Source organism: Homo sapiens, chromosome 7, assembly GCF_000001405.40.
Source record: "Homo sapiens chromosome 7, GRCh38.p14 Primary Assembly".
Taxonomy (NCBI): domain Eukaryota; kingdom Metazoa; phylum Chordata; class Mammalia; order Primates; family Hominidae; genus Homo; species Homo sapiens.
In genome coordinates this window covers 20,188,288-20,205,190 of record NC_000007.14, presented here as the reverse complement: position 1 = coordinate 20,205,190, position 16,903 = coordinate 20,188,288, and the positions used below count along the sequence as shown (strand labels likewise).

Here is a 16,903-nt window from a genome sequence, read left to right as displayed (position 1 = left end):
TCAAGGCACATTGCTAAAAACTAATCTGTTTTGACATCATGAAAATCCATCAGAGGTAAAACTTTATGAGACTTTCTCTTCATGTTTTTTTCCATTCTAAAAAAAAAATTGTATTAATATCCAATAAAGTATGAATTCATATATCAAACTTTTAAAAATTTACCGAAACTTGCTCATTGATAACCATGGTATCTAAATTTAATTATAGATCTAAATTTAATTATAGATCCTTAAACTAGGGTGCTAGGAGAGGCTCTTTATCCTTTCCTAGTTAAAAAATGTACAATCTCTGCTCACTGGGTCATCTTCATTTTGGATAATTTTAATAAACTGAAAAAGCAGTACAAGTATTACTTCTTTTAGAATATCAAGTATAAAGTATCATCTTTAAGATGTGGTGGTTAATTCCTCCTTATTTTCATGTAGCTTACAAACTTACAGTGTGAATGCAATTTTTATGTTATGCCTGTAATTCAACCTATTTTTCTGTAGTCGCCTGTGAAAAGTGTGTTTGTTACAGCTCACCTAACCAAAAAATATAAACTCACTTTTTCGATCATTGGTGTTTCATTCAGTTTTCCAGGTTGATCTTATAAACAAGTTGATCAGTTATGTGGGAAGTGCTTTTCACTTGGACTCGGATTGAGACACAATGTCTCAGGACGTTCAGGCTGAAAAAAAATGTTTGAGATATGCCAAATAGAAAGACTCGAAGATCACATCCTAAAGAATTGAGCAGGCCGGGTGCAGTGGCTCATGCGTATAATCCAGCAGTTTGGGAGGCCAAGGCGGGTGGATCATGAGGTCAGGAGATCGAGACCATCCTGGCTAACACGGTGAAACCCCATCTCTACTAAAAATACAAAAAATTAGCCGGGCGTGGTGGTGGGCGCCTGTGGTCCCAGCTGCTCTGGAGGCTGAGGCAGGAGAATGGCGTGAACCCGGGAGGCGGAGTTTGCAGTGAGCCGAGATCACGCCACTACACTCCAGCCTGTGCAACAGAGCAAGACTCCATCTCAAAAAAACAAACAAACAAAAAGAATTGAGCAATAAATTGAGCAATAAATTCAGGCTTCAATATGTACCCAAATATAGTATTTATAAAGATAATAAGGAGGAACCTAAAGCAATTCTTCTGTATAATTAAAAATCAAAATAATATAAAAGCATGTACATACATGTAACTTCTATTTTAAAATGCAAATGGAAACATGTCTGGCTTCCTTTTTTTTACTTAATATATTTTAGTGATGAGCCCACATTGCTTATGAAGGTACTGCTCTTTCCATTATGATTATGTAATTTTCCAGCCGTTAGCTATTATTACCAGAGCCACAATGATCATTTTTGCATAGAAACAAGTTGTTAAATTGAAAAAATTAATTAGGATTCCAAGACGATTGATTTCAGATACCAGAAAGAGGTATCTGGCAAAAATCCCAATTGGCAATATTTTCACAAATCTTGAGCTCCTCGCTGACTTCCAAGTTGCAATAAAAAATAAAGGGGGAATGAACACTGAGAGGATTTTGTGAGAATGATTTTTGAAGGACTATCCCAATCCAGAGGGGTAGGTGAGGAGATGAAGGATGCTATTGTTTCACCTCATTGCACATTCCAGGAAAGCTTGGTGTGTTTGCCTGCCTGGAAACCAGAGCTCAGGGAGGCTTTAGCTGACTTAAAAATTGGATGCATCATTCACTTCATAGGTTTAGCCGTTGAAAGCTTCTCAGGATCTTCCAAAGTGCATGTATGCACGCACACACCATCATCATCATCAGCAGCAGCAGCAATAAATATTTGCTGGTTCTCGAAAGGAGGGTCAAAGCTTCCAACTTCGGAGCCCTCAGTAGCAGCAGTAGCTAGTTAGTTGGGCGATGGAAGAGGTGAGGTAGAAAAAGAGGAGATACGCACTTGTATCCCTCTTCCCCAAAGGCTGTAGACCCATGTGGTGTGGGGAGGGGAGGATCAGTCTTGCCCTAGGAGATTGGTGCTGATGAAAATTTACAAATAATACTGCATTTTGAAACTTAAAATAACCCAGGACTTTTTTTAATTTTAATCTAAGAGTGACCAGGAGATATATGGGACCAACTGGGGAAATTTCATCAGTGGTATTAGAAAAAATTTCCCCCAATGAATAAATTTTTTAAAAGCACAGTGGTGGACAAAAATACAATTGTACTTTGTTTCATCTTACCAATTGCTTTTAAGAAGGTTACATACTTATCTTTGCTCACATATAAAGAGAACATTCATTTTTAAACAAAGACAACATACAATCTATGGATTTCCAGAACAAAGTTAGAATTAATGAATTTAGACTAGGAATAACTGAAACTGAATCAGTACTCTAGAGCTACACTTTCCAAAAAGGTAAGCATTAGCCACATGTGCCCTTTAAATTGATGAAAATTAACGATTCAATTTCTCAGTAAAACTAGCTCGATTTCAAGTGTTCAACAGCCACATGAAGTATGTTCAACAGCTGCATGAATGTAGCTATTATCTACCTGATTGGATATGACAGATATAGCACATTTCCAAAATCAAAAAGTTTTTGGTTCTCATCACAGATAGTAAATCATTTAATTCTCATAAAGCATAGTGGAAAGGGAATAACAATTATTATTATTACTACTTAATAGATGTAAAATTGAAGATTGGAGAGTTTTAGAAGCTCGATCAGGTTTTTTGGTTCCGGGTCCCATTTTCTTTCCTCTAAAACACATTGATTGATTATCAAGGCAAGTATGAAATGTATCAACCACTTTGCTCTACGTCCAAATACAAAGAGGCGTATTCTGAAATCTAGAAATTTCTAAAAGAAGGAAACTAAGTCCATCTCTATGTCATAGCTTTGATGGAAAACACAATCTTGTATCTGTTTCTAATACTTCCCATTTTACAATCCATAAAATGAACTTACAGAAGTTGATTTAACCAAAAGACTGTGAACAAATGGAAGAAGTTTTAGATAGCATTAATGAATTGCTAAATAACTGCACTTGTCTACACTATCCTTTCACTTTGGTATGATTGTCGAAGAAACTATTCACTGGCTTGGATGTGCGGACATGGTTTTGAGACCAGACTCATTTTCTGCTGGCATTTGAACCCAGATAGCTTTTACAAATGAAGATAAATAAAATTCATAATAAAATATTTATTCACACTAAACACCTAGGAGTGTGTGGGAAAAACAGTTTTACTGGGGAAAGGAAATACAGGGGCCAGTTGAAAAAACACGAAGAATAATTACCAGTAAGTGAGGTTTGAAACTCATTTCCTCTACAGGAAGACATGGTTCCAACTGGTACAGAGGTTAAGGTTCACATTTTGCATCCTTGGAGACAGAATCTCAAAAATGGAATCTAAGGTGGTCTTAAGTGCAAAACCTCAAAAGGGTAATTTATAATCCTTGGAGTTTAGGAGTCGAAAACAAGGGACAAGGTGAACTCTGTCCACTTCTCTCCATTCTTACAACCACTTTCCTAGTTCAGGCCACTGCCCTTGCTCTTTGTCTCTAGTTCTGCTTCAACTTTTGCTTTCCACCTTCCTGAAATGTAAATCACAGATGAGATCATGTCATTGACTGAACTTAAACTCCTCTGCGTCTTCTTTAGGCTAAAGTTCAAGTTCCTCAGTCTGTGTTATAAGTATGTCATGACCAGCCTCTGCCTTTCTCTGCATCCTTCCCTCTTGCCCCTCCCCCATCCTTGCCTCTGCCCCTACCCCACTGCTATGCCTCAGCCTTACTGAAGTGCTTGCTGCTTTCTGAACGAGTTCTGCTCACTCTTGTTTTTACACCATTGTGGATCATTTTCCTTTTACCTGAAGCACTTCATCCTGCTTCTCCCTACAAATTTCACTGTGGAGCTAGCATTTGAACCCAGATAGCTCAACCTTCAGAACCCATTTCATAAATTCTGCATAATTAGTCCATGGGGGGGACAGTCTGAGAGCCCCTCTTGGCCTCTTGTATTGCATGATCCTGCTGCTTCTTTCTTCCCTCTCTTTAGTTAAAACCTCAGACTGTGTCACATCCTTCTTTTGAGTGTGACCAGCTCTCATTCACCAATGAGATTCACTTAAATTTGATTCACCAATTCAGATGACATAGTACCACTTCTCTCCCTTTAGAATATTTTTTAAAATTAAAAAACATAATAATAGAAATCCATCCCACCAAATAACACCTAGTCATCTTGGAAGTTTTTAATAGGGAGAGGAACACTTCCTTGGTAGGCTTAGGTTGATACTTTTCTGAATGCAAAATGATATTAAAAATGTGCAGCAGTGAGTATGGCATGGACACTTGACCTGTCAGAATGGATGCTGGCCAGTGTATGGTACTCAGGTATTCTTACTGGATATCCACCCTGCCTGGAAGCAGAGAATAGGCATGAAAATATTGAATGGCTCTTAGAAACTTCCAGGATTAGATAGCACCCATGTTTCTAGCTGGGGTTGTGGGGGATATCTCAGGTATCTGACTGTGCATCAGTGAAAAGATTTCTTCTGGCTCCAGCAAAAAAAGAAATCAGGTGCTGATGGTTGAGTGCATTACTTCATCCCCCTTCTTAGGTAATTACATCACTCTGTCTCTCATGTCTTGTGATGAGTTTGGCAGTTTCCTAAACTAAAAACTTCCTGTAATTAACCTACGCACTCTTGCCTGTTAAATTTTGACAACAATTTACTTTCTCTTCCAGGATTTGTCGTTATGACCAGTAAATTGGTAGGAAATACTGATATCAAAGGTCTCCCAGTAACCTCTTTTTTCCTTGGAAGTCATCGTGTGTTTTCTTTGGTATTTATCAGTATTTTGAAGTATAACTTAATAGTGTTTGTTAATGAGGGATATAACTGTTATCTCTTTATCTATAACTGTCCATTTCTAGTAATCTAGTAATCTTTTAAATCTTTTAAATCTACTAATCTTTTAAATCTAGTAATCTAGTAATCTTTTAAAAGATTCTTCGTGTTTTTTCAGTTAGCCCCTGTATTTCCTTTCCCCAATAAAACTGTTATTCCCACACACTCCTAGGTGTTTATTGTGAATAAATATTTTATTATGAATTTTATTTATCTTCATCTGTAAAAGGAAATACATATATATGTATGTATATATACATACATATGTACACACACACACACACACACATAATGGTATAGCCACTTGTTTATCTTTATTCTCTATCTTGTTAATAATTGTATAGGATTTGGCTAATTCATTTGAGCCTTAAAACTTGGTTTGCAAGGTCGTTTTCCTTTATAAAAGCATGTATAACTCACTACTTTCTGATTGATTCATTTTATAGAACATTTAATTTTATTGTTTAAATTTATTTTTAAGATATCTGTTTTTACTTTAAAAATAAGTTTTTCTTAACTTTAAGAACAAGAAAAAGGTAAAGATTTAAAGTGAATTCTTCATCAACATTTTTGAATGACTCTGTACTCTTTGACTCACCTCTGTGAGTTCCTCTTCATTCACTTTGGTTTCTAATTTCATGTTAGTAAGTGCTCTGCTCTCTCTGTGTGCTTCCTGTTTCATTTGAAGACTTCCTTATTCTGTCATTTCATCCTTATTTCAGAGCATGCCTTCCTGATGATTATGTGACAAGGGTGTGGGTGGAGGATAGTGGTGTTGGAGAGGGCAGGTTGGTTTCAGGCCAAGTGGTTGCCAAGGCATCCATTCTGCCAATCAAGGCAAGCTGAGTGCTTCGCTGCTTTCTTCTGGGTTGAACTGAAGCCTCCAGTACTATCACACACACCAGGTCCCTTCTCCATGTAATATACATAATATTGCTTTAGATAGCTTTGGCTAGGACAATGCTTACTTTTTCCATGAGTATGAACAGGAGAAGATCAAACCTTGCCAACTCTTTATCTGTGGATCACATTTCTACCTTAGTAGCTAATAATTTTTCCTTCTCCTCACAGATTTCTTGTGCAAGCCTTGTATGAACCACATAATCTGTGTCTGTCTCAATTTCTTATCTGCAAATGGAGCTAATAACATTGGCTGCTTTTCTCCTGAGATAGTCCTGAGGATTAATAAGCTGGCTTTCAAAAGCACAAGTGTCTAAGATGATAGGCCCTCCATAAATTCAAATTACTATTATTGCCATTCTCCTTACATACTGGCAGCTGAATAATACACTCGCATAAAATATTATATTTACATAGACCTTTACATTTTGAGAAGTATTTTGTAACATTAACTTAGACAAGCCTTTCTCTCTGCACAGTCTCAGCACCACTCTTCTGTGGATAAAAGATTTGTTAGGCATCCTTGGTGGATCTCTCTTTTTCATTGAGTCTTCATTGTTTTGCCAATTCAAGTTACTATTATTATTTTTTAGTCCTATTCTGTCTCTGATTTGAAGGAATTGTTCTACATCAAGTCTCCTTGTGGTGCATGGGATTTATTCTTTAGATTGAATTAATTAGAAAATATACAAGTAATTTTGGCTTATAAATTGATAACCCTGTAAAAATCTTGCCTTGTTAGAAAGCGACAGAAGAAATTATAGGCGAGGCTGAGATCTAAAAGGAGAGCTCCAGAATGGAGGCTTGGACCAGGGGCAGACCAGGAGCTTATCAAGATACAATTGAATAATCAAAGGGTGGAGCCTGGACAAAATGTTTACTTGTCTGGTAAGCCTTAAATGTTTACATTGGCCAATTGATCCCCTTTCATCTTCTCTTGCCCACTAGGAGACCAACATCCATTAAACTCTAGTTTTTGGCAGTCCTGTTCTGTTCATTGTTTATATCCTGGACTAGCATGATATGCTTGGCTCTTTATCCCTCTATGATCTCCCATGCTGTCTGTGGATCTGATGCCTAATTCTGGTTCAGAAAAGCCCCTGGGACTTTACTTAGGCACCAGTTTAGTGCCTGGTTTTCCCAGCTCCCATGAAAGGGGATAAAACATTGCTTTGATCAATATCTCTTTGGTAATGGTTTGCTTCTCTTTCCACTACTCTCCTCCATACCCACATATCACATGCCCTCAGGGATCTCCAGATGATATGGTCTTCTTGAGATTTCTTGCCAATACCCAGACATCAGACCCTCCTGTCATTCCCTTTACCACCTGGATTAGCCACTGTGGTAACTGGAGGCATTCTGCCCCCAGGCCTTTGCTGTTTAAGGGTTTCACCACCAGAGGGTGGTATTTTCCTCTTAGGATCATTGAAATTGTTCATGTTGAAATGGTTTTTATTACATAAAATATTTCTATAAATGAAGTAGCCTATTTTCTAGTGAACAATATAAGCCTGTATAATATAAAAATAAAAATAAAAACAATACATGGTAGATTTGGAAACATTTCTCCTAAAAGCCATGATACTAAGTCATGATAAATACGTGATTGAAACTTTTCTGTTTCACCTGAAATTGAGTTTATAAATCATGACTTTGAAATTTGAAGCTCAAATAGGGCTTCTTAAACTTTCCGTGATCTATGCAGAGTTTGTCTGAAATCTTTGTTCATCATGCAAGTATATTTTAGTTAGTTTTTGTCTGGAGGTGTTTGCAAAATAAGCCACACTCTCAGATAAATTCAGTCCAAGTTTATTGTGAGTAGGCGTACGAGAACATGTTCAGGCTTTACTAAATAGACAGGAGATCTTGATATCCATAATGTTAAAAGCTAAAGCCAGGACAACATGTAAAAATGCTCGAGAAAGAAAAACAAATAGTCACTAAGATTCCACAAAATTGTTATCTTGGCTAAGTTTATTTAACATACAAAAAACACAAAGCCATGTGATTCTTTACCCAGGAGGGGTCAAGAAATTGGTATCCAATAGAGATTCCAAGGGAATAGGCAAACACAGCAGCAGTTGAAAGGAAATCTGAAAAGAAGGGAGGGCTGGCCTTTGCTGCACATAGGCCTGGGAGGAGGGAAAATGGCAGTGCTGGGCCTGAGAGAAAATATTAACTGACTTGTTGACTTTAGGAAAATCTTAGATTCTCTTTAGTTTTTGTCAGAAATTCCAAATAGCCCAACTCTTTTCAAAGACCAGAATTTTAATTTTCAGCCAACATTGGGATGGACCTTTCTATTTGGACAAAAATAAACTTCTAGAAATCAGGGAATTTGAGTTCTGGTGGGGTGACCTGGTCACTCACTAGGTAAATGTTTATAGATAATTTGCAACTTCATCGTATGTCATTTTTCAAACTTACAAAAGACAATGACTAAAATTGACTGGTAGTAGTCAAATGTGTACCATAGAAAATTAGGGGTTTTGTGGGGTGACTTGAGAATGCTCTGTTGCAGTGAAAGTGAGTGGCTGCGAGGTGAAGTTTGTGGGCTTTGATCCTTTTACCTTTCAGCCAAAGGAACTTTGCTTTATTTATTTTTCAACCTTATTTTTTTAAGTTTTGGGGCATATTTCATTTGAGAAAACCGGTTCTCCATGCATGATAGATATATGTTTGGAACAATTTAAATGATCGCTAAGCTCTTTTTAATTCTAAAGATGTTTTTCTATGACAATTAATGATAATATATATTACATAGAGCACATACACACATGCATGCATACAGATATATACATTGTTTTATATATATATATAAAATGGGCCGGCCGCACCCGGCCCATTGTTATAAATTTATACACTATCTTTCTCCAGTGTGACTGGATGTACCTAATTACAAAAGTATATAGTCAATAAAACTGAAAGTTGGCTGGGCGCAGTGACTCACGCCTGTAATCCCAGCAGTTTGGGAGGCCGAGGTGGGCGGATCACAAGGTCAGGAGATTGAGACCATCCTGGCTAACACGGTGAAACCCCGTCTCTACTAAAAATACAAAAAATTAGCCGGGCGTGGTGGCGGGCGCCTGTAGTCCCAGCTACTCTGGAGGCTGAGGCAGGAGAATGGCGTGAACCCAGGAGGCGGAGCTTGCAGTGAGCCGAGATGGCGCCACTGCACTCCAGCCTGGGAGACAGCGAGAATCCATCTCAAAAAAATAAAATAAAATTTAAAAAAAACCTGAAAATTATTACCAATAAAAGCTAAGCCTTGGAAACTAAAGATAAAATCCTAAACCTCCCACAGATTGAACAAACCCTCATTTGGCCAAAGGGACCCCAGAGAAGTCTTGAAAACTGAGTTCCCAACCATGATGAGACAGGAGGTCAGAAACGCTTTGTTACACCCCATCCCTTTGCAGTTTAGACACGACAACTGACCAGTATTAATGTTAAAATAGAGATCACAAGACTGACAGAATGGACTCTTCATGGCAATAAGACAACCTAATTATAAACAGGACCTAAGGCCATGCCAGGCAAGGTTAAGTCACACACCCCTACACTTCAGGAATAAACTATGTTCTAGCTGCAACAAGTTTTTTCTTTTTTTCTAGCAGCTAAAGAAGCATTGGCCTCAAGATGAGCAGTATTAAAATAATGACAACACATCCAGCTCACAGAAGCTAACTGATCCCCTGTTCCACAAGCCATAACTACAGCTTTGATTTCAATAACATTCTCCTGATGAAAAAACCAACCATAGATTGCACACTTGTGTGCCTTTGTGTCCTAAAAAGACCTTTTGATGTATAGGGCCTAATTGTAGTACATTTAAATGTTATCTTTACCCCAAGGTAAACATGGGTCATATATACGAATATTTGCTCAATACGCATGTGTCAGGACCCCCTTCATGAATATTAACAGCTCCTCCTATAGACTGTTGAATACATATGTTACTTTAATTTATTCAACTTAAATTCCTGTCTAAACCCTCCTCCTTTGAAGTAGCTGTCTCTGGTCTTTGTCGGATGCTATGCTTTTCAGCCTGTGGAATGGCCACCTTGAAGGCTATAATCTTTTATGAGAAATAAAGTCTCCTTTCTAAGCTCATAAATCCTGTAGTTTTTAAAGTTAACAACTTCATGCAATAATAGCAAGGTACGGCGGGTTGGAAGAGGAGCATAATTATATTAAACAAACAAACAAGAAAAATCAGAGATGTGAGAACTTACTGCACACAAAACCCAGACCAAGTTTCCCTGATAATCAAGGTAAAACTTAAAGCATAGGGGATACTTGTTTTTTTTTAATAAGAGAAAACGTTAAGATTAGGAGGAAAAAAATTTTCCTATCCCCAGACTTTGAGAATATCTTATATGTGGCTTTATATGAAGGAAAATGTGTGACATAATGGGCAAGCTTTTTCTGATTAGAGGTTTACTAAAAATTTAGGCAAATTCCACATCTCATCTTTATGACGAGAAAAAATTCAAGGAAGTAGTGTTAAGCCATCACTCTATAAAGGCAATTTTGTTAGGAGGCTGAAGTAACATGCTCTATTTTTAAAACTGCCTTTTGATTGCAATTGATTTAGGCATAAAACTAGGAGAAGTGTGAGTTGTGAAAGGCTATCATATCCTCTTTTAGTATTGAGATGGCTTTTAATGGAAACTACATGGTAGGCAATTTTAAATTCTCATTACCAAGACGTAGTTGAAAGACAGCCTTTCCTTATTGTTGCAAGAAGACAGCAAAATGATGTTTTGCATGAATGTAAAATTCCTGAGATGGATTTGCTTAATAGCTTTTCACTGGATCTCTAATGGATGGGCCAAGAGGTTGAGGCTGAGCCAGCAGCTGAGTGAATCAGGTGTAAGCTTTTAAGGGTACCATGAAAGGAGCGAAGCCTCCTTAAGTGAGGCTCTTCACACATCTGCCATGGGGGCAGATTAAAATGCCTCTTCGTGTGTTTCTTTCTAATGAAAACTAGAAAGAACAAACACATCAGGGGAGTACTCCTTTGTGGTCATGTTTTCTATGTTTGGAGTGGAGTAGACAAGCTGGGCTCCCTGCCTTCTGACATCACTGATCTCTGTGTCAGAACCTGGCTTTCCTTTTAATTCTTTTCTTTTTATTGCTTAAAATTTTATTATCCAAGATTCTATAATCTAAAATTAGGATATAAAAAAAGCGGCAAAAACCCCTCAGAGCAGCATGGCTTCCCAAATTCTCTGCTTTTCAAATGGACTCCATCGTATTTGACAACTGAGTCAGATAACGGTGACAAGATAGGATGTGGGTAGTTCTGTGGTGGAAACCCCCTCATTTTACAGATGGAGACATGGAGGCTCCCAGCAAGTGAGGAGTCACCGCAGATCAGAGAACCGCTGGCCACAAACCTTACCTAAATTCCAGATCTTGCTGTTTCTGCTCTACCTTTCTAGCATATCCACAAAATTATTAAAATAGCAAATGTTTTCTTTAAACATGGCTTCTTAAAGGTGTGTGTGGGGGCGGGGGAATAAAGATGGCAGAGCCGGGGTTGGAGAACAGTGATGTCAGCTGTTTGCTTTCTGGCTCCTAAGGGTTTTACTTTGCCATTCATGAGACAAAAAAAAAAAAAAGAAGGAATAGAAAGAGGCCAAACTTCCCCAAGAGTCTGAGTTTACCTTCCTAATGACATGTTTATTTTTCCACATTTTACAAAGTGGGACATGGCCCTCTACAACCAGGCCTGCCTTCCTGAGCTTTGGGCATGGCAGTCATTCCCTTAGTTTAGCTACAGCTTTGACAGGGTGTCTCTTATAAGATCGTAGAAGCTGAATTCTGAAAAAGCTTGCATCACTTACCATTGTCTATAACAGGATGCAACTTAGATGAGAAATGAGAATTGAAAAACAAACACTAAGAGCAAAGTTGTGTCTCATGACCATCACCTCAACATAATTGTTTTCACTTCTTCAAAATTCCTTCCAAGTTTTATCTGTAATATATACATTTTTATACTGTAATCACAGTTTATATAAACTTTCAAGATTAGCTTTTGCACTTAGTCACATTATAAACAATTTCTCATGTTGTTAGAAACTTTGTAACCATTTTTTATAAAGGTGACATCATGCCCTAAGTTGATAGCTTATAATTTATTTAATTATTCATCCATTACCAAACATTTAGGTTATTTTCAGTTTATTTTTCTATTATATATGATTCTCTGATAAAGAGTTTTATAAACATAGCTGTCCCCTTCCTCTTATTTTCTTGAAGAAAATACTGATTACTGAGAAGGGCCAGAAGAGTTTTATGATATTATTGTATACCTTCTGGGGACAGATTCTATTTTGCGGGGCCTAAAGTTTATACCACTTGGCAACAGGGGCATCTTAAGAAAAATAATATGAAATTATAAACATAAATCGCTAGGGAACTTTCCACCTTGAAGGGACTCATCACAGTGAGGAGCCATAAGATCACTTGGTGTCAGATTCACATTGTCAAAGACATTCCCTCAAATCCTGTAGTACTTTTCAATTTCATCAGTACGGGATGAGTACTTCATCCCTGAATCTTCATGAGTACCGTGTTTTCTGATTTAATTATGTTCAGCAAGTGTAGCACAACTTAATCTGGTTACATTTAATGTGAATAATTTGCTTCAGTGTGCATTTCTTTGTTTAAAAGGCCATGTTTCAGTATCTATTGCTATATAGCAAACTACTCCAAAACTTAGTGGCTCAAAACAATGGTTGTATTATATTTCACAATTTGGTGGCTGAGAGATCTAGTTAGGGATTCTCTGGGTGATTCTTCTACTTGGCCTAATATAGACTGTAGTTCTTAGGCTCCAGATGGAGTGGTTGGAAAGTTCAAGATGGGTACCCATTCATTTCTGGCACTTGGGAGGGGATGACTAGAAGTCAGGGCTTAGCTGGGACTGACAAGCAGAGCTCCTTTGTATGGTCTCTCCAGCGTGACGATCTTAGGGCAATAGTTCTAGATTTTGAAATCTGTGAACAGCGGTTTTCCTATATCTTATTAGTTAAGCAAATCACAATGGCTGGTCTAGATTCAAGGGCAATTTCAATGAGAATAGCAAAGAATTAGAGGCTATCATTAACCACAGGGTGATATTTTTTCCCTAATTGTTTTCTTCTTTTTCCTTAATTGTTTACCTGCTCAATAATACCCTATATTGGAATTTGAAAGAATAATAAAGATATAAGTAGAGCATTAACATGGTTTCATGAAAATAAGAAAATATATTAATTTATAACTTGCATAAATCTACTAAACGTACTTAACATTGAAAAGTCAGAATTTCTTTAATAACAGACTTAAAGTCACTAACTTAGAGTTATATTAAATATATTACATATAGTTTTATATCCTCATCCTTCATCGTATTATCTTATTTATTCGTTTATTATTATGATCCTTTAGCAAGATGATAAAAAACGGATATCAAATTTCCATTAGCAACTTTAGGCATAGTCGTCCTAAATAAATACTACAGAAAAACTGGCATTGAAGACAGTAGGTGTGCAAGCCACTTACCTCCTTGCCTTCAGCGTCGATTTCTGTCCTGTGTTCTTCTTTTATGTGTTGTAGGTTTCTGATACCGCACAGATTACCTTTCCAAATTTTTATTGCCAGCCGTATTTTAGTTAGATCTTGCCAGTGAGAGGTCCTGGAAAGGGAAGGATAAAATGAAGACGAGAGAAAGCGTGACTCACTTCTCCTTTCCAGCTTCTGGGCCTCCTTCCACAACAACTTGAAGCTATGGATGCCTGCATCCTCCGGCAATTTCAGTGCCCGTAGTGCGACTGTTCCCTGGTTCCAGCCCCTGTCCAGTGGCACTCCCCTTGGCTATACCAGCACCTGTAAGCAGAGACCCACTGATAGCACCAACTCCTACAGAGCAGCACCTCCTCATCAGTTCCAACGCCAGCTACGTAGGGCCAGGTTGCATTTCCAGACTGCTGCAAAACACACTTCATCCCAGCTGTCCAAGCACCTATTGCTTGGCACCCATCCATGCTCCCCAAACTAACATGGGTATGCCCTCCTGTGTTTCCAGGACCTCCTGAGACACCTCAGAAGTGCAAGTAGGCCCATGGGTTCTACAACTTCCTCTTCCCTTTTGTTTCTCTGGCCCTGGGGATAGTAACTGCATCCTGCAGGTGTTAATAGCTGGGTTATTTCACATTCTGCTGTTTGATCTTTCAGCCTCTAAACATTTTGTAAATAGTCCCCTCTGCTTGAAATGCCTCATGTGGATTCTACTGCCTTACTGGACTCGGAGTGATAGAGTAGGTGCTATGTTACTGCTAGTCTTTTGCAGATATGAGTAAAATGTCCACTAAGAAAAAATGCTTAGATTAGTGCAAGTAGTGTGACAGAATGGTGATTATATCAGCAAGCCATTTGTAAAATACTGGTGCTTTGTTTCTGTGTTTTTAATATCTTCCCTTGTTTATATGCTCTGTGTACATAGTAACAATTGTGTTTCACAAAGAAAGATTGTATTTTTACAAAACAGAAAGCAAACATTCTTGGGAGTGATACTTATGTTCCTTTTCAATGTCAAGTTGCATTTTATAACAGCTGAAGTCACAGGAATATGTCCACTGATTATTCTGTCATTAACAGTTCACAGGCAGGCTTTCAAAAATGAAAAAGTGGGCTGTTATTAGGAAAAGAGCTTGTGATGAAAACCTTTCCATTTTTTTTCGTTTGATAAAAACTAACCAATTTTGGCTTTGTTGCCATTTTAAAGCCATGAACTGCTCCAGAATTTTTATGCTTTAGGATTATCTCTGCAGGCTGTGGGAACTGAAAAAGCCAATGCTAATTCTGTTTTGAACAAGAATCCTCAAAGAGAAATGTTTATTTGCTATGCCTTGGCTCATATATTCATTTGCCAGTTCCACTAAATTTATATTGAGAAAGTTTTTCATTTAATGTCAAGATTCAATAAAAATTTATTAATTAATTTGTGGTTATTAGATATCATACAAATGCTAAAAAAATAAATGATTAGGATCAAATGTCTTGAAAAAAGAAAGCTAAGAGGAAAACTGTTCAAAATTAAACATTTATTTTGCCATGATTGCAATTATCTTTGATATTCAGCAGATAGAAACGGCATTAGTGACTATCACAAAGGTAATAGGTTTGGTGTTAGGTCACAGGGATTGGAGTAAAGAAAAATAGAAATCAGAGTCCCATGTACTTCACTGGATAGCTTTCCATTGTGGACTGAATGGTTGAATCCTTCAGTCCAAAATGTTGAATCCTTAATTCCATTGTGACAGAATTAGGAGGTGAAGCCTTTGAGAAGTGATGAGGTCATGAAGGTGGGGCCCTCATGAATAGGATTAGTGCCCTTCTAAGAAGAGGACACAGAGTTTTCCACTACATGAAAACATAGCAAGAAGACAACAATCTGTAAACAAGGAAGAGGGCCCTCACCAAGAACCTCACCCACCTGACACCCTGATCTTGGACTTTAAATTTCCAAAATGGTGAGAAAAAAATGTTTAAGCCTTTCAGTTTAAGGTGTTTTGTTACAGAAGCCTGAGCTAAGTCTTTCTTTTACTCTCTCTCTCTCTCTTTTTTCTCTCTCTGTGTATGTGTGTGTGTGTGTGTGTGTGTGTTTATGTGTTTGTGTATGTCTGTCTGTCTGTCTCTGTCTCTTTTCCCCATTTTTTCTCCTGCTCCTACGCTGGCCTAGAACTAAGAGATGGTGGAATTTAAGTATGTTACTTCTTGGTTATGCTTTCCAGAGCTTTCACACTGTTGCTGGCATTTCTTTCAGGAAAGCCATTCAGGCAAACTATGTATATATCACATTTGAACTAGATTTGCAAATCACCTAGGAAATCTTTACAAACCTCCATTGATTTGCCGCAATGACTTTTATTCTATTAATGTAATTTGTTTCTTTCTCAGTTTTCAAGGGGAAATGAAATTTATGCAACAGTCATTCCACAATTATTTATTGAGCACCTACTATGTGCTAGAAACTCTTCTAAGCTCTGGGGATACAAGAGTGAACAAAACAGATAAATAAACAAATTGTCACTCTTTTGGTGCTTGCATTCTAGTATGGTGAGATAGGACATAAAATAAATAAGTCAAATATATAGCATATTGTATTTTGTGAGTAACATGAAGAAAAATAAGGCAGAGAAGTACAATGAGAAGTGTATATTATTTTTTTTAAAAAATAAGGAGGCCAGGAAAGTCCTCATAAGTAAGGCAATATTTTAGCAAATACCTAAAGATGATGAGGAAGACATCACACATATCAGGGGAAAGAGTGTTTTTGGCAGAGAAGACAGCAAGTATAAAGGCCCTAAGGCAAGAACATGCCTGCTGTGTTCAAGAAATGAAAGGTAAGGCCAGTGCAGCTAGAGTCTACGTGAGATGATCTCAGATGAATTCACACAAGAAACAAGGCCAGATGTTAAAGAATAAAGCCATATAGGCTATATAACTTTAGCTTTTGCTTGATTGAGAAAGGAAGCTATTACAAGATTTTGAACAGACAAGTCATATGACCCAAGTAATATAATCTGACTATTTTAAGGAGGAGACAGTGATAAGCTGCCTCGCATGATGACAGGTCAAGCATGTTGAGCAATGAGAGTTTACCAGTGACTTTGGCAATAGAATGTCAGAGGTGACCTTGATAAAAGCACTTTTGGTAAAGTGGAGAATGGGTGAAAATTAATAGAAGGTGTTAGAGAGAGAGAGAAGAAAAATATTTTTGGATAAAGGGAGAAAGTACTTTGTGTGTGTGCCTGTTTTTGCTGTAAAGGGAAGGGGTGGGAACTGGAGAAGGAAGAAAGGAGGAAAGGCAAAGACAGGTTTGTTTGACTTTTCTTTAAAGATGTAAAAAGCATCCTGATGTTTTATGCTTATAGAAAAGGTGCAATAGAGGAAAATACACTTGTAATGCTAGAGAGATGCAAGAGAGTTTTTACAACTTCTTTGAGTCGATGAGCAGGAATGGACATGCTAGTCCTGTTGAGAGGTGAGACTTGGCTGATAGCACGGGCAGCTCACCCACAGTAATGAGAAAGAAATCCAAGCAAAGGGGTTCAAATACAGGAAG

General features: G+C 37.6%; 1 protein-coding gene across 1 annotated transcript in view, besides 3 other annotated features; it reads left to right on the top strand.

The window, feature by feature from the left end:
* The window catches only part of MACC1 (MET transcriptional regulator MACC1), an 82,730-nt gene that overhangs the window by 12,194 nt on the left and 53,633 nt on the right, over positions 1 to 16,903 (top strand). The window lies entirely within an intron of this gene.
* Positions 3,525 to 3,574: an enhancer, noted in NCBI's record as "active region_25688". NCBI's record gives its function as "activates an Ori minimal core promoter by ATAC-STARR-seq in GM12878 lymphoblastoid cells {active_cell/tissue: GM12878}" and the evidence as "EXISTENCE:reporter gene assay evidence [ECO:0000049][PMID:35858748]".
* Positions 5,661 to 5,760: an enhancer, noted in NCBI's record as "active region_25687". NCBI's record gives its function as "activates an Ori minimal core promoter by ATAC-STARR-seq in GM12878 lymphoblastoid cells {active_cell/tissue: GM12878}" and the evidence as "EXISTENCE:reporter gene assay evidence [ECO:0000049][PMID:35858748]".
* Positions 5,791 to 5,840: an enhancer, noted in NCBI's record as "active region_25686". NCBI's record gives its function as "activates an Ori minimal core promoter by ATAC-STARR-seq in GM12878 lymphoblastoid cells {active_cell/tissue: GM12878}" and the evidence as "EXISTENCE:reporter gene assay evidence [ECO:0000049][PMID:35858748]".